The following is a 25,218-nucleotide window of genomic DNA, read 5'->3' as shown; positions in this document are numbered from 1 at the left end:
AAAGCTTGAGGCCAAGTGATTTTTCAGAATTCAGAATTATTCAGAATTTACAAAAAGCACCCTTAGCTACATCTGGAGCTGGTGTAATCAAAGACATTAATATCTCTGCGGCAAAAGTATAATCACACTTTGATTTTTAAAAACTGTAAATAGCTTCTTTTCAATTCAGGTAAGATTTTGTTACCATATAATTCATAAAAGAACTTTCACTTATCAGGGGATTTGGTTTGCTTATTTGTGTTTTGGATCTCAGAATTGCAGATAAGTGTGTGACTAAAGAGCTGTAATATTATTTTAAAAGTACACAATTGGAATCTAAAGGGGTATGAATTTTTTTTAAGTAGAGTTTTAATTGTATTATCTTACACCCTCTGGAAGTTAAAGTTCTCTTGATATTTAAATAGTTTAAGAAGCAGTCGTTCAAGAAAATATCTGAGTTATATAAGAGCAGCATTTACAGAAGAATGCTCAACTTCTGAAATTATCATTCACAAGTAAAATAAAAATTTGACCTTGGTCCCATCATGGTATATACATGTGGAAATGTAGGATTTAGTTAATATAATCATTGTAAATGTTGTAGAATGATAAAATTTTAAATAATAACAAGATATTTCTGATAAACATATAAGTATTCTCATATTCTTTAATGCATTTTGGTGGAATTTCTATTTAAGCTTATATGAGTAATCCTTCAAGCTTTTATGTAGCACCCAGAACTATCTTCAAGGGTTAATTAGAAGACCTGGGTTAACAGTTCAGGAAACACGTAGTCTGTAAAATGCTTGGCGATTCCCCGAAATTTGAAAGTATTCAGATGTGTGCATTTTAGGTACTTATACAAGAAATGGCTACTAGTTTTGTGCTTATTTAGATTTTTGCTTTGATATTTATATTAACCCTTAATTAAAACATCCAAATTAAACACATTAAAGTATTAGCTCTCTTAAAATCCCTTTTGGAGCATAGACCTGCCCAAGGCATGCCTTCAATCTGTTGCTTTGGTTGACATACAGTGATAAAGTCACTTGCTCATTAATCAAACCAGACAGTGTACAGAATTTGCAAGGCCAAAGTGCCTTTAAATAGACTACAATTTTTTACCCAGTTTGTTATCTTTGCATGACCAAAAATAGTGATAATCAGGCTGAATTTTATTGTTAGCATTTCAGACCTCATTTCAAGAATAATTTGTCAGGCCTCTGAGCCCAAGCCTGCACGTATACGTCCAGATGGCCTGAAGCAAGTGAAGAATCACAAAAGAAGTGAAAATGGCTGGTTCCTGCCTTAACTGATGACATTCCACCATTGTGATTTGTTCCTGCCCCACCTTAACTGATTGATTAACCTTGTGAAATTCCTTCTCCTGGCTCAGAACCTCCCCTGCTGAGCACCTTGTGACCCCGCCCCTGCCTGTAAGAGAAAAACCCCCTTTGACTGTAATTTTCCACTACCCACCCAAATCCTATAAAACAGCCCCACCCCTATCTCCCTTTGCTGACTGTCTTTACGGACTCAGCCAGCCTGCACCCAGGTGAAATAAACAGCCTTGTTGCTCACACAAAGCCTGTTTGGTGGTGTCTTCACTGGGAAGCGCGTGACATAATTCTTCAGCCATGTTTTGAATTTGAAGGTAGTGCAGTGAAAACTGAGACCATAAAGTGATTAAAATTTGGTGTTAGATCTCTTAACTACCAGAAAAGGGAAACTACATGAAATGAATAAAGAAAAAAATAACAGATTTGTGAGATAATTTCCTTTATATTCTCAACAGCCTGGTAGAAACTCAGAAGTGAAAACCTATAAGGGTAATAATAAATCACATCCTCACATCCCCCCAATAATGCTGCCAGATCTAAACATTTCTATGTCTATTAAGGAAATAACCACTGTGAACATGCACTGATAAAATTAAATGTATGCCCTTCTTTTTTATTTACCTCTAATGTTATTTGCCATAGTTATACACATAGTAGAAATTTACCATGCAAATTTTAACAAACATTCTCAGTACAAATTTTGGTATGATTAATTTCAAAATGTCTAGTTTAATGAGAAACATTTAATTGAGGTATGCGAAAACACATATGTTTTCTGAGATAGACTTAGCTTTACATTCTTTTCATTTTCTTAAATTGATCCTCTTGAAAATTATTCTTTGGCAATTTTCAATAATACATCTCCTGCTAGTACTTCAGTAAGAAACACAGAGGTAGATATGAACTCTGATGGTATGCTGAGAATATGAAATGCAGTATCACCCATAAGAAAAACACAAATTCCTCTGCATGCTTTATATCATTTTAACTTACAATAGTAATCACAACTTACTGTGTTTCCTGGGGATTTCCCAAGGCACAGCCAAAGGCAATCAGTTCCTCTCAGCTAGTCATAAATGTCCTGTGTTTCTTTCATTGCTTAAATATTGCCCCAAGCCCTTTTCTTTTATTATATCCCTTTGAAGTGTAGTAAACCATTTCCCAAAAGACACTTATCTAAAAGAAGGTTGACATTTGCAACAATAAGAAGCAGCATGCACTGTGTATTAATATGAGGGCCTGAAAGACTTGACATGCATCCCTCTAATTATTTTAGAGTTCTCTTCTCTGGCTGTGCATTCATTTATTATCAATAGAAATTAAAGTCTTTTAAATGTCAGTACTCCACACTACAGAAGCAGGGAAAATAAGTTAATACTAAGCAATGTCTATTGAGGACTCTTTTTTCTGTAAAAGCAGAGAGAAACATTTTTCTTAAAGTTATTTTTTTCCTATTTGATATAGATATGCCAATTATGATAAATTATGATTATGATATACTTTTCAGAGAAAAAGGACAGAGAAAAGAACCCCCCCAAAAAACTAATAAAAAACAAAGAACTAAGAGATGAATTGAATCATTCTAAAACACACACCTGACATATAGAAATATCCATCAATAATTCCCCAAAAATGGCAGAATTCAAGATTTGCTGGATCCACAGGTGTGCTACAAGCCTGCCTTTACCTACTTTTTAACTTTACCTACCACTTCTCCAATTAACATTCAGACTGGTTGTTAAATAGAAAATGGAAAAATAGGTAGAATGTGGGATGTGGGAAGGAAGGAGATAAATCTGCAAAGTTTGTCTTGACCGGTTAAATCTCAACTATATTTGAGTAAGTTTTATATTGAAGGTGCAGCAATTTTCCAATTATCTGGAATCAGGCATGCAAAATATTCAGGAGCAGGAAAAAAACGTGAAACTGAAAGTGAAATGGTTCAAAAGTAGTAAGAATGATAATACCAAATATTCCATAGTCATAGAATATAGCCTTCCTTAGGCCAGATATATAATAAAATATATTCAATCAGTGTCCACTTATCCGGTAAGATAAGGATCAGCCAGCTACTAAAGTATGCAAAACCAGAAATAATTTTTAATAATATATTTCCATATGTTAAGCATTTCATTTTAACTTAAAATAAGTGGAAATCCATTCAGTCATGCGTATTTTAACATGAGACCAAGCCCTTTTCTTTGAGTTAGTGTCTTCTGCCTCTCTTCCTCTTTCTTGCATAGTCACACAGGAAAGCGTCTTCCTCAAATTCCAGCTTAAGGCCGGGCGCTGTGGCTCACGTCTGTAATCCCAGCACTTTGGGAGGCCGAGGTGGGCAGATCACGACATCAGGAGATCGAGACCATCCTGGCTAACATGGTGAAACCCCGTCTCTACTAAAAATACAAAAAATTAGCAGGGCATGGTGGCGGGCACCTGTAGTCCCAGCTACTCGGAGGCTGAGGCAGGAGAATGGCGTGAACCCAGGAGGCGGAGCTTGCAGTGAGCCGAGATCATGCCACTGCACACCAGCCTGGGCCAACAGAGTGAGACTCTGTCTCAAAAAAAAAACAAAACAAACCAACAAACAAAAAAAACAACCAGCTTAAGTTAAAGTGGTCTTAGGGCTTAAAATTCCTTGCAAAACAATCTTACATGGTTTTGCTCTGTGTCCCCACCCAAATCTCATCTTGCATTGTAGTTTCCATAATTTCCACGTGTTGTAGCAGGGACCCAGTGGGAGATAATTGCATCATGAGGGCAGTTTCCCCCATACTGTTCTCATGGTAGTGAATAAATCTCATAAGATCTCATGGTTTTACAAGGGGCTTCTACTTTCTCTTCTTTCTCTTTCCCTCTTGCTGCTGCCATGTAAGAAGTGCCTTTTGCCTTCCCTCATGATTGTAAGGCCTCCCCAGCCACGTGAAACTGTGAGACCATTAAACCTACTTTTCTTCCCAGTCTTGGGTATGTCTTTATCAGTAGTGTGAAAATGCACTAAAACACTTTCTTTGTATTTACTCGTTTTCCCAAAATTTTTCAGTGTTCAAAATACTTCCTAAAGTATTCAACATAGTTTTGCTCATTCTTTCCACTTGCTTATTTTATCTCTTTACCTAATATTGAACTAGTTCACTTAATAACAATACAATTTAAAATAACCATTACAACTACAATAAAAAAAGTATGAAGGAAACAATTAATGGAACAGAAGTGAACAGACCAATGGAAGTGGTACCTATCACCTTCAGCATCATGGCTCTACAGAATACAACTGGCATTTGAATTAATCCAGTGAGAAGGTTAACTAGAGTTTTCCTATAATCTGTAATAATCAAATGAATGTTACACTTTGTTCAGAGCTTATTTTTTTAATATAGGCCTAAAGTTTGACAGGAACATATGTTATCAAAAATTATTTTCTTATATTTATATGATAATCTTCAGTTATCCAGAAAATTAACCTAATTCACTATAGCTCACACCCTTATGTTGTTAACTTAATGGGGTTTTGTATTAATATATAATAGTTTATGATTGTATAAATCATACTTTATTCAGGAGCTTAATTTTTAATTAAATTGTTTACTGAAACAGTTCTAAATTAATCAAAGTTCCAAAGAATGATTTCAAATACTGATATCAAATTTTAGTATTTGGTAAGGGACATTAGTCTATAATTTCTCTCATAGGCTAAAAGTTGAAGTCATTGGCTATTGAAAATTCTAGTGAGATATCTAAGGAAATGTAATTGAGTTACTTCAGATATTTCTTTCTTATGGTTTATAAAATCAATATAAAAAATTCTTTATACACAATGAATGCTAATTGTGCCTTAAGTCATTTTAGCCAAACAACAGAAAGAAAAACAAATGTAGACAAATAATATTTGAAATCTATTCATTAGTCATATATAATCAGATAAATATTTTAATATCTTCATAATATTTTAATAAAATTATTTCTTAATCAGGGATTTACCCTCCTACTTATAATCAGATTTTTCTTTCACAAACCACAATCATGAGGACAGAGATAAAACTAGTTAAGAAATCTTTTTAGTCTATAGCCATACTACCCTGAATGCACCTGATCTCTATCTCAGAAGCTAAGCAGGGTCAGACTTGGTTAGTACTTGGATGGAATGCCTTAAACTTAAAAACTGTTTTTAGTGTTCTCCACACATAACAGTGGTAATGTAAAATTTTAAAAATTCATTATGCTTTATAAAATATAGGTCTCACAATTGTAGTGCGAGAGTGTTTCATGGGAAAAATATCCAGGATTGTGCTCTTAAAAAGAAAACATAAAGGAAGCTTTAAGCATCAGAGAAGAGTTGGATAATTCTTTTCCAAAAATTCTCTGTTTTATTAAAGAACAAGCTAATTTGGAATGACTTTAGGGAAACAACAATACAAAGCCACTTATGGAGAAAATGCCCTATATCTAAAATATTAGAAATGAGAAAGATTATGAAGTACCTACCTAATACTAACTACAACCATGATTTTTTTATTGTGCAAGCAACTATTTATTTTCCCATTATCCATTAAAATGATAAAATTGTGGGAAACATTTAAACTCAAGCAAAGATGGCAGCACTTCTTTACAGTTCTTTGTTAATAAAAATTAATTTGTGCTCTCCTGAGGAAGATAGTCATTCATGCAATATAAAAGTGCTTTAGAAAAATTACAACAGTCTCTTCCTCATTCATCATAAATGTTTCATCCTGGTTTGTTAAAAGTCAGCAGAACACATATTTATGGTTCGGGTACATGGTAGTGTAATTATTTCTCTGTTTCCTTCTTTTGTCAACATTTAAAACATAGAAATATAATCTTATTGTGAATAAGCAATATTCTTGTGAAATGGGTAGTTTTGGAAGAAACTTCAAGTTGTCTTTTTATTTTGACAAACCACATAGATTTTTAAATATTGGTTACATATCTTATACATATTATGGCAAAGCAAAAAAGTAGCTTACATCTTTGGAAACTCTTAATATTGAAGTAGGAGAATTTTTCCAGCATCCATTTATTTAAAAAAGATTTTCCAATTTTAATTATTATTATTTTTCCATAAAATGTTGCTCTATAGATCACACTATCCCAGGTTTTTTACTTTCTCTTTATGGATACTGGCTTTGAAATCTCCTAATGCCCAATATTTAAAATAATTTCAATATATATCAAATGTCATCATCTTGGCATATAAAGCAGAAAATTGGAAGCAAATTTTGCCTTAGATATCTAAAGGACTCTGTCAGAGATGTAGGCTAGGGTAATAGCTAGGAAAATGTGGGTCAGTTATTTTATAGAACTCAGCATCCTCTGAATTTGCAGTCCGTGTGCTCATTTTGTAATGTAACTTTCAAGTGATATATATTTAGGAAAATCAATAATTTGAGATCTTTCTGTAGACAGATAAAGAAAAATGAATAAACTTGAATGTTAAAATTTGGCAGTAGGCTACAAAAATTTAAGTGCAGAATGTCGTGATTAAAATTAACCTCTTCAGAACCATATCAAGTAGAAAACGTAAGCACTTTATTCTCATACTTGTTACATTTCTAGCAAAATAAGCATTTAAAATAGTCACTGCTAGATGGTTAGTCGAGTTTATTGAGGCAAATCTCTGAACACCAGGCATAGCTATTTTGATTGCTTTTTTCTAGGATATGCTTGAGCAAGCAGCAAATTTAACTATACACACATAAACAGTTGTCATATATATGCATGTTTCAGTATATTTTCACATATCCCATTTTATTTGCTTCTTACAAAATTCCCGTGGGCTAGGTAATATTACTCCTATTTTACAGATGATGATATTAAGGCCCAGAATGGTTACATAATTTGGAGAAGACCTAAGTGTTAATTACCAGAGCAAGGGAATCTAAAGGTAAAGTGAGTCAGGCTGCGCTAACCTGAGTTAAGCTGAGCAATTAAGTGCTTCTGAATATGTTTGTTTTTTTTTTCATATGATAAGAGCCTCATGTTTAAATCACAGAGATCGAAATGTAATTATACTCGTATAATGTTGAGTTAGATTATACATATTTTTGAAAATTATCTCCTTCAGTATTGTCCTATTCAGGTATGGTAAAAATGTCACTGGCTAGAAACTCATCAAAAATAATTAAAGAGCTTTATGATCTTTTAAAAATTCTAAATTTAATTGGAATTTAGGTCCTTTGGTAAGAATGTAATAGAAATGTGTTTTTACTATGAATCTAAACCTATATTGAGGAAAGTTATAAAGCTATAATCCCCTTCTATACTTTGTAATCAGACCATACTTATTCATTTATTTGTTAATTTAGTATATATTCATTGAGTATCTATGAGTATTTTCAGGCACCATTCTATATTTCAGTAACATATTCAGCTATGGGCAACTCAGTTAAAAAGAAAAGAAAATTATACCACATACCTTGAGTGCCTATGAGGTACCAGACATTTTCGTGTCTAATAAAAATTATTATTTCAATAATAATGATAGTTACTAACATGTATTGAGAGTCTATTTTGTCCTAAATGTATAAAGAACATTAATTATTGTAAACTCACAAGAAACTTAAGAGGTAGATTTATTTTTATCCTCATCTTCCAAGGTTTGAGAGCCCAAGGTTTCAGAGCCACAACCTGTAAGCTAAGATTCGAACCCAAATAGTTTGGTAACAGACCCTTGTTCTTCACCACACACTGTATCTACTTTTTTATAACTTATAAGTACTTTTTATATATTATTTATTACAATTTTTACTTTAATCATCCGGGGCAAATATTACCTTCATTTTATAATTCAGGAAATTGAAGCTTATGAAAGAGGTTAAAAATTTGTCTCAAGTTATACATTTCTGTCTTACTCTCAAATCTACCATGCACAGTTATATTCAGGCTGTTTACTACTAGATTACTCAGGAGAAGATTAAGCATATATTTTGGACAGTAGCCAAATAAAGGTACAAAAAATGGACATATGTACTTCAAAAATAGTATATTTGCTGCTTAATAATTTTAAAAATCAACATAGTGAAGACAAAAACTATAACATAATTGTATTCCTTTGTTCCTTTTATCTGGTTCACTGTTGTTGTTTTCATTTGAGTTACATGTGGAGGGGTGAAGTGGCAGTGATAAGACACTACAGTTTTCCATGCTCAGAGCTTCTAAAAGTCTTACTCCTATTCTGTATATCTCATTTAATATTCACAAAAGTTACAAGAGGTAGCATTATTTGTGGAAGGAGGGAAGCTGAGAATATTGAATAGTTTGCTCGAGTTCACAAGATTATTACGTACACAGCAGATATGAAGTGTAAATGAAAGGTACTATGACTCCAAAATCCAGATTCTTTCCAAGATACCATATTGACAACTAGTCTAGTTAGAAGAATGCTACTGGGATAATGAGGAGATTTAAAATCATGTCATAAGAGAAGCAATTAAAAGAAATAAAGAGATTATTCTGAAGAGAAAAGTGACAGATTTGGAATTGACCTAAGAACTTGATCGACAGTCAAAGCTAATGCTAGGTGTGTTTGGGTAGAGACTGAGTCACCACTGGGGATGATGGAAAGACTATACAAGCACTAATGGTAAGGAGCAAGGCATTTAGAACACTGGCTCTCAACCATGGCTATATTTGGATATCATCTGAAAAATTAGAAAAAAATTGCCATGTGTTGGTACCACTTCCATCTATTCTGACTAAATTGGTATAAGGTGCAGCCAAGGCAAGAGGATATTTTAAAACTTCCTAGGGAAGCCGGGCGTGGTGGCCCACGCCTGTAATCTCAGCACTTTGGGAGGCTGAGGAGGGCGGATCACCAGGTCAGGAGATCGAGACCATCATGGCTAACATGATGAAACCCTGTCTCTACTAAAAATACAAAAAGAAATTAGCCTGGCGTGGTAGCGGGCGCCTGTAGTCCCAGCTACTCAGGAGGCTGAGGCAGGAGAATGGCGTGAACCCGGGAGGTGGAGCTTGCAGTGAGCCGAGATCGCGCCATTGCACGCTAGCCTGGGCGACTGAGTGAGACTCCCTCTCAAAAAAAATAAAAAAATAAATAAATAAATAAATAAAAAACTTCCTAGGTAAGTGGTTCTAACATTTAGCAAAATTTGACAACAAGACAATAAGTCCTGTAAAGTGTATATCACTCTTTAGAGTCTTTTGCCGTAAGAAGACTCAAATTTCATAGAACCACGAACAACAGCGGTTTTGGAAATTGGTGTTTAACAGAAGACCATCTTCCATCACACAGTAGTTTACATATTTGGGATCAAACAGAATGTAATTCTGTGTCTGCCAGCTAATCTGTCTATGGTTTGGTTGCTTCATCTATACAGTGGGATACTAACATTTCTCCCCTTACAGGCTAGTTAAGAGGATTAATAAAAGATCAGGCACAACATCTATGAAACAGTAGTTATTACTTGTATGATTAATTCCAGTGAGGTAGAAAGTACTGTGGAGCACTTTTTCCCCTATCTCCAAGCCCATGCATGGGTGTGTATGTGTATATTGGGGAAGTGGTGTATGGGAAGAACAGTGTGTTATGCTGTTGGATAATTACTGTCTTCTTTTTCTCCTCAGCTTTCTATTGCTTAATCAGTGTGCTATTATTTTTAAGGAGAAAGTGTAAGCTCACCAAGGTAATTAAAATTAATAGTATAGAGAATCCAAGGTTATAAGCACCCAGCTATATATCCACAGTAACCCCGAATGTTAATACTGCTGTGAATTGAATTAATTTTGACTTTTGTCCCTCTGTGAATCCAACAGGCAATAATAACAGGAAAGTATAAACATACTCAAACATTCAGCTATCATTGTTCTTTGTTTTTAATCTTATTGCAACAGATTCCTTTCCCAAATTGAACAAACTTTCTTTTGTAAGAATACCAAGGTCTTACATGCACATGTATGTTTATTGCAGCACTATTCACAATAGCAAAGACTTGGAACCAACCCAAATGCCCATCAATGAGAGATGAATAAAGAAAATGTGGCACATATACACCATGGAATGCTATGCGGCCATAAAAAAGATGAGTTAATGTCCTCTGCAGGGACATGGATGAAGCTGGAAGCCTTCATTCTCAGCAAACTAACACAGGGACAGAAAATCAAACACTGCATGTTCTCACTCATAAGTGGGAGTTGAACAATGAGAACACATGGACACAGGGAGGGGAACATCACATATTGGGGCCTGTTGGAGGGTGGGGGGCTAGGGGAGGGAGAGCATTAGGAGAAATACCTAATGAAGATGGCAGGTTGATGGGTGCAGCAAACCACCATGGCACGTGTATATCTATGTAACAAACCTGCATGTTCTGCACATGTACCCCAGAAGTGTGTATATATATATATATGACTACCAAGGTCTTGTTCATGTTTGTATGAGTTGATATCCTTTCATGATTATTTCAGCTTCTTTTAGAACTATAAGGAAAATGAATGTCAGAAAACAGGTTCACACTAATGCTTTGAGAACAAATATGCATCCCATTTCATACAAAATATTTTGTTAAAATAATTCATGAAACTAATGTTTTGGTTTATAAAGAATGGAATGAAGCGACAAATCTGCTAAATCCCCTGAATATGCATCTTTAAGGCAACTTTCATATGGAGCATTTCACTTCCATTAAGATGCTTTCAAATCTTGCTTCTATCTAGACTCTTTTTCAATGTCATTTTATTTTTCAATTATCCTTATGTTTGTATTTATTTAAAAGTTTTTTCTTTATTTTTCCAAATCTCTTTCCTACAGTGTACAATTGTTTTTGTGGCAAGCTGAATTTAGATTTCATTTTTATACTATTATCAGAATTTAAAGTCATTTTTGAGCAATCGCTCTCAGGTTCCTACTTCATAGATGTATGAAAAGGAAGAAACATAGTACTGTAATTAAGTACTATTTTTCTGGCCCCACCTTCAGTACATTGATGACCATGGACAAGTTACTTAAATTCTCTCTGCTTCATTTTTCACCTGCAAATTGATTAAATGAATAATATTTATAAAGCATTTAGATTATTGTCTGGTATTTAGTAAGTCTATAAAAATAAGCATAATGGATTTATTTTTGCATATTAGCATAGGACTTGACATCTAATAAGCAGGAAATGAATAAATCTGAAATCACTCAGTTATATTCACAACTAATTATTTGTACAAACTCAAATAATCACAATATCTTTAAGCTTCATAACTTAGCCTTAAACACAAAGATAATAAAACTTAGTTTGTGTCACAGAATTGCAGTGACAATCAGTCAACTGATGTTTAAAGTGCTTTACTAATGCAGGTTATGAAATATTGACACTAACTCAACTTATCTGATAATGTATTTTTATGTGTCAAGCAGAAAAGAGTTTGCTTAATGCAGGAAGCATAGCTTTGGGAAAGATATGAGCTCTTCCCAGGAAGAGGGTGTTCTGTACCAAGGAAATTTCTGAAAATATTGCTGATAATTTGAAAAATTGGATCCTATTGTATCTTATTGCACACAAAATATTAGCCATCCAGTTTTTAAAAGGGTTGCCTTAAGTAATTTTTAGTGCATTAAAATTTTGTGTGTAGTCTACCTTTGATTCTCACATTGTGAAAAAAATACATTTCTACTCAGCTGACTCGAAATGATCACAAATTCTGAATTAGTGAAATCTAAATTTGTAAAACTAATTAAACAACCACAGCATTTGTTCAGCATAAAATAACTAGATTATTGACATGTATATATTTAAAATATTGGGTATGAAGTCTCACTTCCCACTGAAAATTTCATCTATTTCTTTGCTCTTTCTCTTACTTGTGGAGAATGATGTCTTACTAAAGTGAAGTCGTTAATCGTTAACAGCCTCCAGTTAAATGCTTAAGTATTAAAATAAATCTTTTCTTCCCACAAATATTTATGAGTAAAGTTATAGCTCAATAAGGAAGACATATTTCCATCTTAATGTTAACATTAAATATTTAACTTGTGGTCTCTTGGCACATTTGTAGCTCATGTGGAAGAAACATCTGCATATCCTTTTCCACAGAGGGCATTTAATACTAAGGTGAACCATTCTAATTCAGAACATGCTGAATGTTTTCTTCACAAATAACTAAATTTAAGTTCATTGAGTGGTTACAACAATAAACAAGTTTATTTTCATTATGTGCCCTTAGTATTTTTCATTCTTAATTAAGATAATTTTTAACAAAATTTTTGTTCCTTTGTTTAATTTTAAGAAGCCATTTAAACGCTTTGGAATAAACAGTTAGTTGCCCATTTTACATTAGGATATGTTTCTAGATATACAGAAATGGGTGTGTGTGTGTGTGTGTGTGTGTGTGTGTAGGTATGTATTCCAACTTTACTGAATACACATAATTTAAACAGAGTACGCAAGTCAAACCATGAATATTAAAATGTATTTTTTCATGTTGAGTTTAGCTTGATATTAAAAAAAATTAGGATTAATTACTGTCTGAACTTTCTTTTTGAAAAATAAAACAAATATTTCATTGTATCTTGTGAACTTTACTTTGTTAGTGGACTACTTTGGGACGTGATATAACTTATTAGAATAAAATAAAAGCCAATGAGAAATCGTTTGTTTTCTAACGTAACATATCTAAACATATGCTAATACATTTTCTTATTCTATGTTTTTACTAACAATGCCACTCCTCATTTCATCTAAGGTAAATTCTGTTAGTATTTGGGGGTGACAGTGATGCTTTCTACCCACACATGAATTTAGAAAGAGTGAAACAAGATTTATCTCTTAAAATGTATAAAAAAATAATGACAAGTCTTCATAAAGTGACAGAATAATTTCTAGGCTTTTAGGAGTATGTTATGAATGACGATACTATTAGCATAACTAAAGAAAGAATATGTCAGCCAGAAGGGAGCTTGTTTAACCCAAGAAGCATGACATGAGGAAAGATATGATTTCTTCCCAAGAAGAAGAGGTTCTGTTTCAAGAATATTGCCTTGTAGGTTTATTTTCATTATAATGTTACTTAACATCAAAATGAAACAACTGATTATTTCACTAATTAACATGCTTGCTATGCCAATTTTATTATAATGTGGCTTTTTTTGTGCCACCTACATGGCAATAAAGTTGAATAATTTAACTGCTTCTCTGGTATCAGGGGAACCAGCCCCTAATATTTCAGCACAGGTTCTTTTCTATTTCCCTAAGTGTCGGCCGGTCTGAGAAATAAAGGGAAAGACTAAAAAAGGGAGAAATTTTAAAGCCTTGGGAGACATCACATGTCAGCAGGTTCTGTGATGCCCCCTGAGCCACAAAACCAGCAAGTTTTTATTAGCGATTTTCAAAGGGGAGGGAGTGTATGAATAGGGTGTGGGTCACAGAGATCACATGCTTCAAGGGCAATAAAATATCACAAGGCAAATGGGTAGGACAAGGTCACTAGGCCAGGGCAAAACTAGAATTGCTGATGAAGCTTCATGTCCCACTGTGTATGCATTGTCATTGATAAACATCTTAACAGGGTTCGAGAGCAGAGAACCGGTCTGACTAGAATTCGCCAGGCTGGAATTTCCTAATCCTAGCAAGGCTGGGGGCCCTGCAGGAGACCAGGGCTTCTTTCATCCCTATCTGCAACTGCATAAGGCAGACACTCCAAGAGCGGCCATTTTAGAGGGCCCCCCCACCCAACCAGGAATGCATTCTTTTCCCAAGGCTGTTAATTATTAATATTCCTTACTGGGGAAAGAATTGAGCGATATTTCTCTTACTCATTTTTGGTAATAAGAGAAATATGACTCTTGTTACTGCTCCCAGGAAGTCAGACTTAATGGTTATCTCCCTTGTTCCCTGAACATCTCTGTTATCCTGTTCCTTTTTCAAGGTGCCCAGATCTCATATTGTTCAAACACACATGCTTTACGAACAATTTGTGCAGTTAACACAATCATCACAGGGTCCTGAGGTGACATACATCCTCAGTTTATGAAGATAATGGGATTAAGAGATTAAAGTAAAGACAGGCATAGGAAATATAAGAGTATTGATTGGGGAAGTGATAAATGTCCATGAAATCTTCACAATTTATGTTCAGAGATTGCAGTAAAGACAGGCATAAGAAATTATAAAAGTATTAATTTGGAGAACTAACAAATGTCCATGAAATCTTCACAATTTATGTTCTTCTGTCACAGCTTCAGCAGGTCCCTCCTTTCGGTGTCCCTGACTTCCTGCAACACTCTGGTGTAGTATTGTTCTAATAACTTGAATAAATCAGAATCCTGAATTTATACCTCAGTCTCATGAACTCAGTTTTTGTGAGTCTGCCCACAAGGGTGATGGATTTGCTCTTAAAATGCTAAAAGTAGTTTATCATTCTGTAATGCTAATGGTTAGACACTGCACTTTTGAAAACTCACTATCAACTGTGACATTCCCTCAATAATAATAGTAATAAGGTTATTAGACACATATAGATCTAACATGTGAGACATTATTGTAAGCACTTTTAATACACTCTATGGTTATAAGAGGTCTGTGAGTTATATATTTTTATTATATTCTTTTTTCAGGTGAAGAAATTGACTCAGAAAAATAAATGGTAAAGGCTGTCATCAAGCCTAGGTATTCTGTCCCAGAAACTATGCCCTTGACCTCTATGTGCCAGAATGCTTACAGAGAACTTATCAATATGACCATTAATATTCCACAATGCTTATTAACATCAACATTAATATTACAGACTATTTTATCTTTCTGCTTGACAGTGTTTGCTTTAAAACAAGGCAGATATGAATAGGCTGGTCACTAAATGACAAATACTGTAAAATTCTACTTATATGAAGTAATCACAGTAGTAAAAATCATAGAGATAATAGAATGATGGTTGCCAGAGACTGAGGGAAAGAAGGAAAATATTGTTTTTACATTACTTAGTAATGTATCTGTGTTCTAGCGATGCTATAATATGCTACTTCCAGTCAAATATTGAAATTATTAGAAAATAGAAATGATTTTTAAATTATTCTTGGAATTATTACCTATAACATTTTAAAATGCAGAAAGCTCAAAAAGTTAACTATGTTTTCCCCCAAAATTAAAAAAAATACTGTTAAGGTACACATGACATAAAATTTAGCATCTTTACCACTTTTGAGTATGCAGTTCAGTGCTATTAAATACATTCATAATGTTGTACAACTATTGCCCCCATCCAACTCCATAATGAATCTTGTAAAACTGAAGATTTGTAGCCATTGAAGAACAACTCCCTCTTTTCCCTTTTCATTCAGTCTCTTACAACCACCATTCTGTTTCCAGCCTTTATAATTTTACTCCAAGTATCTAATATAAGTAGAATCAGATAGTACTTGTCATTTTATGATTGGCTTATTTCACATAGCATGATGTTGTCTAGATTGATCCATGCTGAAGCACATCAGAATTTCTCTATATATCTGAATAATATTCCATCGTATACATATATACACCAAAATTTGACTTAATTTGTATTCTAAGGATAGATTTGTAGTCTATCTTGGAAAATATCCCATGTGCAATTGAGAAGAATGTGTTTGCTGTTGTCGAGTAAAGTCTTCTGTGTATACGTCTGTTAGATCTATTTGGTTTATTGTGTTGATTCTAACATTTCCCTGCTTATCTTCTGTTTGGTTGTTCTATCCTTGATTGAGAGAAGAGTACTGAAGTATTTATTTCTCCCTTAAATTCTGTGTTTTTGTTTCATATATTTTGATAGTCTGTTACTGATATAGTTTCAATCTGTGTCCCTGACCAAATCTCATGTTGAATTGCAATCCCCAATGTTGGAGGTGGGGCCTGGTGGGAGGTGATTGGATCATGGGGGCAGTTTCTCACAAATGGTTTAGCACCGTCCCCCTTAATACTGTCCTCGTGATAGTGAGTTCTCATGAGATCTGGTTATTTTAAAGTGTGTAGCACCTCCCCCCACTCCTCTCTTGCTCCTTCTTGCACCATGTGTGACGTCTCACTCCCACTTTGCCTTCTGCCATGACTGGAGGTTTCCTGAGGCCTCCCCAGAAGCAGAAGCTGCTATGCTTCCTATAGGCCTGAAGAACCATGAGGTGTATTTCTTTATAGCAATGAAACAATGAACTAATACAGTTACTATGTGCATAAATGCTTATAATTGTTATATCTTGTTTAAATTTTTATATCTTATTGTTAAGTCTATTTTGTCTAATATTAGTATAGCAGCCACCCCTGCTCCCTTTTGGGTACTAAATCCTTAGAATATATTTTTAATCCTTTGACTTTCATAAGTATCTATTTGTGTCTTTGGTTCTAAAGTGATTCCTTTATAGATAGCATATACATTTTACCCACGAACAGTGCAGGGTATAGGGGTGCTGAACCCCACACAGTTGAAAATCTGCATATGAATCTTGACTCCCCACACACTTAACTAATAGCTTACTTTTGACGAAAGTTTACCAATAGCACAGACAATTGATTAACACATATTTTGTATATTATATAAATTATATAATGTATTCTTAAAGTAAGCCAGAGAAAAGAAAACGTTATTCAGAAAATCATAAAGAAGAGAAAACATTTACCACTCTTTGAGTGGCAGTAGATCATCATATAGGTCTTTATCCTCATTGTCTTCACTTTTGAGTAGGCTGAGCAGGAGGAGAAAGAGGAACAGTTGGTCTTGCTGTCTCAGAAGTGGCAGAGGTAGAAGAAAATCTGCATGTAAGTGAACCCATGCAGTTCAAGCCCATGCTGTTCAAGGGTCAACTGTAGCTCGATCACCCTCTTTTTTTTTTTAGTCCATTCTGCCAATCTCTCCTTTGATTCAGGTGTTTAATTCATTTACACTTAACATAGTTACTAATAAGGAGGTATTTCTTTATGTCATTTTACTATTTGTATCTTTTGATATGCCTTATGCTTACTTGTCCCTCATTTCCTGCATTACTATCTTCCTTTGTGTTCAGTTGGGTTTTGGTAGTGAAACATTTTTTTTAAAATGAGAAAGAAATTTCTCATTTCCTTTTTTGTATACATTTAATGTCCTAAAGTTATATCATTCTAATTTGAATTTATTCTAGCTAAACTTCAATAACATACACAAACCCTGCTTCTTTTCAGCTACATTCACATCCATTTTGGTTGGCAAGGTCACAGAATTGTGTCTTTATGCATTACATGACCAACATATTAAAAAATAATTCTTCTAAATGCATTAGTCATTAAACTTATGTAGAAATAAAACGTGGAGCTGCAAACCAAAGTTACAATAATGTTAGTTTTCACATTGGTATTTCTGAATCTATGTAGTCTCTGAAATCATGTAGCAAACAAAAGTGGAGTTACAAACCATTGTTACAATAATACCACTTTTTATGATTGTCCATGTACTTATCTTTATTTAAATCTTTATTTTTTCACACATCTTATTTTTAAGTTATTATTTTGTGTCCTTCTATTTTACTATGCAGGACTTCACTGAGTATTTCTCACAGAGTAAGTAGGTATAGTGATAAGAAACTCCCTCAGTTTTTATCTGGGAATGTCTAAATTTCCTCCCTCACTTTTGAAGGATAGTTTTGCCAGATATAGAATTATTTGTTGACAACAATTTTTTTTTCCTTTCAGCACTTTGAATATATTGGCCCACTGTCCTCTGTCTCCCAAAGATTCTGATGAGAAATCTGTTGATAATTTTATTGAAGATCCCACATATGTAATAAATTGCTTTTCTCTTGATGCTTTCAAGATTTTGTCTGTCTTCGAAAAGTTTGATTATAATGTGTATGTGTCTTTGAGTTCTTCTTACTTGTAGTTTATTGAGCTTCTTGGATGGTTATATTCATGTCCTTCATCAAATTTGAGAAATTTTCACCCATTCTTTCCTCAAATATTCTCTCTACCCTAACCATACCTCTTCTGTTACTCACACAGATTCGATGGCAACTGCTGAGTGACAACGCCAACTATATTAAAAACTCTCATTAATTACAACTGAAAATAGGACCATTATGTTTAACATATTATTATGTGGCATATATGTGCATATGGCCCTATTCTATATACGTATGTAATATTCCATAATTTTAATTGATTTAAATGAACAAATGTAATTGAGAAACTTTTATGTCGTAAATATGCTTGCTTAAATTAGATAATTGGACATAACCACTAATTTCAAATATTACTAAACTGTTATGTGAGAACCCACAAATGTGTGTAGGCATAGGACATGCAGATTATTTTACATATATATATATGCCAGATAACTACATGATTAACTTTATCTCTTGAGGAAGTATAGCACTTCCAGGATTGAATTCTGCCCTCATTATCTGCTATGTGACTACTATAGACTGAATACTTGTGTCCCCTCCCCACAAATTTAAATATTAAGTCCTTTATCCCTAGTGTTTTGGTATTTGGAGGTGGAGACTTTGGGAGGTAATTAGGTCATGAGGGTAGAGCCTTCATGAATAGAATTAGTGCCTGCATAATAAGGGAAATGATCTTTCTCTCCACCATGTGAAGATACAGCAAGAAAGTGGCAATCAACAAGCCAGGAGCAAGGCCCTCACTAGAACCCAACCATGCTGGCACCCTGATCTTGGACTTCTAGCCTCCAAAACTGTACAAAATAAATTTCTGGGTTTTAAGCTACCTAGTCTATGGTATTTGTTATAACAGCCTGAGCAACGACAGTGACCTTTGACAGATTCTCATTGTTTCAGTGTTCTTCCTCTCTATAGTGAGGACAATGGGTATACCTACTTCAGAGGTTTGTTGGGAAAGTAAAAGGAGCAAATCTATGTGTAAAATGCTCAGCATTATGCACAACACAGTTCATTCTCTATGTCACTATTGTCGTAATTTTTAATGAGATATTATATATTTTTATTTAGATTTTCTGAGTTATAAATGGAATTTTGGAGTATCCTGCTGGTGGTTTACTTGATATTTCCTTCTGTTTTTTTAAAAACACAATACTTTAGAATTGCTAGAGATTTTGGAAGAAAAGCAATATTAATAATTTCCAATACCACTCACCAACATAGGTTTGCATTGTGTTTTTTAAAAAAATTCTTCAAGTTCAATTTTATCACTTTGGAAGATACTCTGAGAACAGAACTACCAAAAAAAAGGCATCATTTAAATATCTAGGATGCAAGTAATGCCTAGTTTGCCATCTATTGAAAGAAACTTTACAAAGCCACACTATACAATACAAATATATATATATTTTTTAATTTGCATGCATGCCTAAAACACAATTCTAAATTTAGGGGAATCCAAATGAATGAAATATACCTATTTGCCTAGTCATTTCTCTACCTCTCACAATTATAATATCTGTAAAATTAAACAGGAAATGTTAGGAAAATCATATCTTAACTACATTTTAATTTTATTTAATGTTCTTTTTTAGCTCTGCTAAGTAAAGCAATAAACATACATATACACACACATACTTGCATAAATAAGTGCTCCATATAATAAAACACAGAGTAGTATCTGTTGTAAACTGCCTTTAAGAAACAGAAATCCAATCCATTTAAAACAATAAGAAAGAAATTTGCATTTTTTTTTCAAGCCATCTGGACAGATGATAGAAATAATCTGAATTCTTGATCAGTTCACAGATGTGTGAAAGGTGTGGGCAACCACTTATTCTATCACATAAGTCAAATTCATCTAAAGGTCCTTCAGGAGCCGGTGAAGGACATTTCTAAGCAGAAAGAGTTTAAGGGAAATCATAGTCCTAAAGAAAATTACATGTCATGAAATCATGGAAATGAATAAATCCCTGAACGACATTTTAGTTTTGAACATCTTGCATTCTGAGAAAGCTGTTTTTTTTTTTTATTATTCAGGACTACAATCTTTTCTTTCCCCCCAGAACACTTACTATGTGTCAAGAATTTGCCAAGTTCTTGGAGTTAAGATTAATAGGAAATGATCTCTGCCCTCAAGGAGCTGACAGTTCCAGCTGAGAAACCATGAATAGGTGCCCAGCATATTGAGTATCTGATACCCAGGAGAAACTTAATAGATATTTTCTTACTTAATGAATGTTGGTTATATGGAAACTACCAAGACAGCAGAAAGTATTATAAACAAACTTTAGGACTCAGAAAAGACTTTCTGGAAAAGATGAAAACTGATTTTTAAAGAAAAGAAGAGATTTCTAGACTTAAGGAGTAACTTAAGTAAAGGCCTAGAACAGAAAACCTACAATAAGCTGATTGGTCTGCTAACAGTGATAAGTGTGAGGTAGAATAAAGCTGTTATCCCTTTAGAGACAGAAAGTGAGGCAATATTGAAAGTCAGGTGATCCAAAAAAGTGAACCTTCTAGGAATGGTCATCGAAAGTGAATCCTAGAGCTCTAGGGTTCCTCCAACTTTTGTTCTTGAAACTTTCTAAGATTAAACTGAAAACGTATTTTCTTTTGTAGTCACATCTCTCGTAGCCCTTCTTAGTAAGTAAACTTAAACTATTGGGAAAAGAAAAAGGACTTTTTCCTCCCCCTTGGTTAAAATAATAGTACTGTCACAGTCTTTCAAAACATGTGACAACTAAAAACATAGAAATGGCTTAAAATGTGAACCAAATCAAGCCTTCAAATTTTAGAAAAAATATAAAACTACACCCCGAATTTTCAGATGTTTTATTTTAGAATAGTTTCTGATTCACAGAAAAATTTTAGCAATAATTTCTACTTGATTTATGTGATTTATACAGTGATTAAATTCAACCCAGCTTTTAAAATTCTATAGAGTAGACAGAAGCAAGAGCAAAAGAGAAAATTGATATCATAAAGAGCTCTATGGCAAAGTGTGTACCCACCTCTACAGAGAATGTCAGGGAACCTTTTCATTTTCATTAAGCACTTAATTTTTTCTAATAATTTTTATTTTAGAATAGAGTTACCAAAAAATTGTAAAGGTAGTATAGAATCCCCATGCATACCAGTTCCAGTATCCACAATAATATCTTATATTTGTATAGTGCATTTGTAATAATAATTAATATTGATACATTATTAACTAAAGTCGATATCTTTTTTCATATTTTTCTTAGTTTTTACCTAATATCCTTTTTCTGTTTCAGAAACCCATCCAGGATACCACATTACATTTGACCATCATGTCTCCTAAGGTCCTCTTAAGCTGTGACAGTTTCTCAGACAATCCTTGTTTTTGAATGACTTTGATAGTTTTGAGGGGTACTGTTGAGGTATTTTGCAGATTGTAGCTTACTTGGGATTTATATGATGTTTTTATAAGATTAGATTCTGAAGTTATGAGTTTTTCTGAGAAAAACCATCGAGGTGAAGTGCCAATCTTATCCAAGGATTCACACTATCAACATGACTCAACGTTGTTTATGTTGACATTGCTCACCTGACTGAGGTAGTGTTTTTCCAGTTTCTCTGCTATAAAGTTAGTTTTTCTCCTCTTGCCACACTCTAGGAGAAAATCCCTGTGTGCAGCTTATACTTAAACCTAAGGTGTAGGGATTATGTTGTATCTCCTTGAGGGATAAATACCTAAATAAATTAGTTGCAATTTTATGCTGAGATTTGCCTCATTTATTTGTTTATTCCTTTATATATGAGTGCATATGTGGGTATTTATCTTATACTTTGGATTATAATCCAATACTATTTTGTTTATCTTGTTGTTTAAATTGTTCTAGCATTGAACACTGGAGCTCTTTCAGTTGCCTTTTTGACTTACTACAATATGTGTGTTGTTTTGTTTTCTTTTCTTTTTTCTTGCTGTTGTCTCTCAGAACACGCCCTTAGTTTCTGGCACTATAACACATAATGCTCCAAGATTATCTTGTATACTTCCTGCCTAAGTCTTAGAATCAGACATTTATCCAAGGAGTCCCGGTTCGTGTTTTTTGTTGTTATTGTTTTGTTTTCTGTTGTTGTTTTTTTTGAGACAGAGTCTCACTCTGTCGCCTAGGCTGGAGCACAGTTGTGTGATCTCAACTCACTGCAACCTCCAACTGCCAGGTTTGAGTGATTCTCCTGTCTCAGCTCCCAAGTAGCTGGGACTGCAGACACGCACCACCACACCCGGCTAATTTTTTATATTTTCAGTAGAGACAGGGTTTCGCCATGTTGGCCATGCTGATCTCGAACTCCTGGCCTCAAGTGATCACTGGCCTCAACCTCCCAAAGTGCCGGGATTACAGGCATGAGCCACCATGCCCGGCCCTGGTTCCTTTCATTGGAGAATAATATTAAAAACCAAGACCTGAGCTCTAGTGTGCTTGTTAGTGTGTCATTGCCTCTAGGTCCTCTCAGTTGAGAGACCGAGGAAATATATGTGTGTCTAATAACCCACTTAGCTAAACATAAATTCATAGTGCTGTCCTAACTCTAATCTGTAAATACCTGGATTGTTCCAGGATCATCCCTGGCCTATCATTTCAATCCTGGCTTCCATCATTAACCAACCATCTACTTAATTCTTTAATTCCAGGCTTTTTTTTTTTTTTTGAGACGGAGTCTTGCTCTGTCGCCCAGGCTGGAGTGCAGTGGCACAATCTCGGCTCACTGCAAGCTCCGCCTCCCGGGTTCATGCCATTCTCCTGCCTCAGCCTCCTGAGTAGCTGGGACTACAGGCGCCCACCACCACACCCGGCTAATATTTTTGTATTTTTAATAGAGACAGGGTTTCACCGTGTTAGCCAGGATAGTCTTGATCTCCTGACCTCGTGATCCACCCGCCTCGGCCTCCCAAAGTGCTGGGATTACAGGTGTGAGCCACTGCACCGGGCCAATTCCAGTATTTTTAAACTCTATATTCTTGTCAGCTATTGTACTATCAGGTTTTGGACTTTAGCCATTCTAATAGGTGCTGAGAGATATGTAATTATTGTTGAATTTGTATGGCCCTAATGCAAATATTGTTGAGTCTCTTCATATGCTTACTTGCTATCCGTGTGTGTGTGTGTGTGTGTGTGTGTGTGTATGTGTGTATGTGTGTATGAGATGCCTTTTTTTAAATTTTCTGAGTACACAGTAGTTGTATATACTAATGGGGTACATGAGATATTTTAATATAGACATGCAATATGTAATAACCGCATCATGGAATGCTACTCCATTTTGTATATGTACCACATTTTCTTTATCCATTCATTTGTTGTTGATGGACACTTAGGTTGCTTCCAGATCTTAGCTATTGTAAACAGTGCTGCAACAAACATAGGAGTGCAGATATCTGTTTGATATACTGATTTCCTTTCTTTTGGGTATATACCCAGCATTGGGATTGCTGGATCATATGGTAGCTCACTTTTTAGTTTTTTTGAGGAATCTCCAGTCTTCTTGCCTGTCTTTCCTTCCTTCCGTCCTGTCTTCCCTTCAGTGAAGATTATTTTCTCAGGTGATATGCTTTAATTTCTCGCTTTTTAATTTTTTGTGTATCTGTTGTACGTTTCTCAATTTGAGGCTAAAATGAGGCTTGCAAATACCTCCTTATAACCCATTATTTTAAACTGATGACAACACTGATTCTGTATACAAACAGACATGCAAAAAGAAAACTAATTGAAAATCTACACTTTAACTTTGTCACCCTGCTTTTTAACTTTCTGTTTTCTCTCTTTATATTTTAATTGTACTGTTTATGTCTTGAAATGTTGTTGTGGTTATTTTTGATTTATTATTCAGTTAGTTTTTCTACTTCAGGTAAGAATAGCCTACACACCACTGGTCCAGTGCTTTTCTATGTGCTTACTACTACCAATTAGTTTTGTACCTTCAGATGATTTCTTCTTGCTCATTAATATCATTTTCTGGCCAGGCATGGTGGCTCACACCTGTAATCCCAACACTTTGGGAGGCCGAGGTGGGTGGATCACCTGAGGTTGGGAGTTCCAGACCAGCCTGACCAACATGAAGAAACCCCATCTCTACTAAAAATACAAAACTAACCGGACGTCGTGGCACATGCCTGTAATCCCAGCTACTCAGGAGGCTGAGGCAGGAGAATCGTTTGAACCTGGGAGGCAGAGGTTACAGTGAGCTGAGATCATGCCATTGCACTCCAGCCTGGGCAACAAGAGCGAAACTCCATCTCAAACAAACAAACAAAATATATATATATACACGTGTATATATAGTTTTCTTTCAGATTGAAATACTCCCTTTAGCATTTATTGTAGGACAGGTCTCCTGTTGATGAAATCCCTAAGTTTTTGTTTGTCTTGGGAAGACCTTTATTTCTCTTTCTTCTTGAGTATATTTCCATTGGTTGTATCATTCTAGGGTAACAGTTTTTTCCTTCAGCAATTTTAACATGTCATATCACTCTCTCCTGGCCTGTAAGGTTTCCACTAAAAGTCTGCTATTAGATGTTTTGGAGTTTCATTGTACGTTATTTGTTTATTTTCTCTTGCTGTTTTTAGTATCATTTCTTTATCCTTGACCTTTGGGAGTTTGATTATTCAATGCCTAGAGGTAGTCTTCTTCGAGTTAAACCTGCTTTGTGTTTTATAATCTTCTTACACTTGAATGTTGATATCTTTTTCTAGGTTTCAAAAGTTCTCTGTTATTATCCCTTTGAACAAGCTTTATACCACTATATCTTTCTCTACCTCCTCTTTAAAACCAATTACTCTTACATTTGCCTGTTTGAGGCTATTTTCCAGATCTTGCAGGTGTGCTTTATTGTTTTCTATTCTTTTTTCTTTTGCCTCCTCTGACCATGTATTTCCAAATGGCCTGTGGTCAAAGCTCACGAATTCTTTCTTCTGCTTGATCATTTCTGCTATTAAGAGACTCTAATGCATTCTTCAGTATGCCAATTGCATTTTTCAACTCCAAAATTTATGCTTGATTCTTTTAAATTATTTCAATCTC

At 34.5% G+C, this 25,218-nt stretch overlaps 1 protein-coding gene and 1 long non-coding RNA gene across 10 annotated transcripts in view, besides 2 other annotated features; one reads left to right on the top strand and one right to left on the bottom strand.

The window, feature by feature from the left end:
- Positions 1-1,565, top strand: part of LOC124900733 (uncharacterized) — a 56,617-nt gene extending 55,052 nt beyond the window's left edge. Inside the window, exon 4 of the long non-coding RNA XR_007058191.1 lies at positions 1,165-1,565. This is a non-coding gene — a long non-coding RNA (uncharacterized LOC124900733). The remainder of the gene's footprint in view (positions 1-1,164) is intronic.
- The window catches only part of CCSER1 (coiled-coil serine rich protein 1), a 1,477,902-nt gene that overhangs the window by 335,146 nt on the left and 1,117,538 nt on the right, over positions 1-25,218 (bottom strand). The window lies entirely within an intron of this gene.
- Positions 1,029-1,585: an enhancer, noted in NCBI's record as "NANOG hESC enhancer chr4:92189716-92190272 (GRCh37/hg19 assembly coordinates)". NCBI's record gives its function as "activates a minimal SCP1, AML or CMV promoter by ChIP-STARR-seq in naive H9 embryonic stem cells {active_cell/tissue: H9 hESC(naive)}" and the evidence as "EXISTENCE:reporter gene assay evidence [ECO:0000049][PMID:30033119]".
- Positions 13,565-14,203: an enhancer, noted in NCBI's record as "OCT4-NANOG hESC enhancer chr4:92177098-92177736 (GRCh37/hg19 assembly coordinates)". NCBI's record gives its function as "activates a minimal SCP1, AML or CMV promoter by ChIP-STARR-seq in naive H9 embryonic stem cells {active_cell/tissue: H9 hESC(naive)}" and the evidence as "EXISTENCE:reporter gene assay evidence [ECO:0000049][PMID:30033119]".

The sequence above is a fragment of the Homo sapiens genome, chromosome 4, assembly GCF_000001405.40.
Source record: "Homo sapiens chromosome 4, GRCh38.p14 Primary Assembly".
Lineage (NCBI taxonomy): Eukaryota > Metazoa > Chordata > Mammalia > Primates > Hominidae > Homo > Homo sapiens.
The sequence above is the reverse complement of the archived record's forward strand: the minus strand, read 5'-3'. Positions and strand labels throughout refer to the sequence as shown.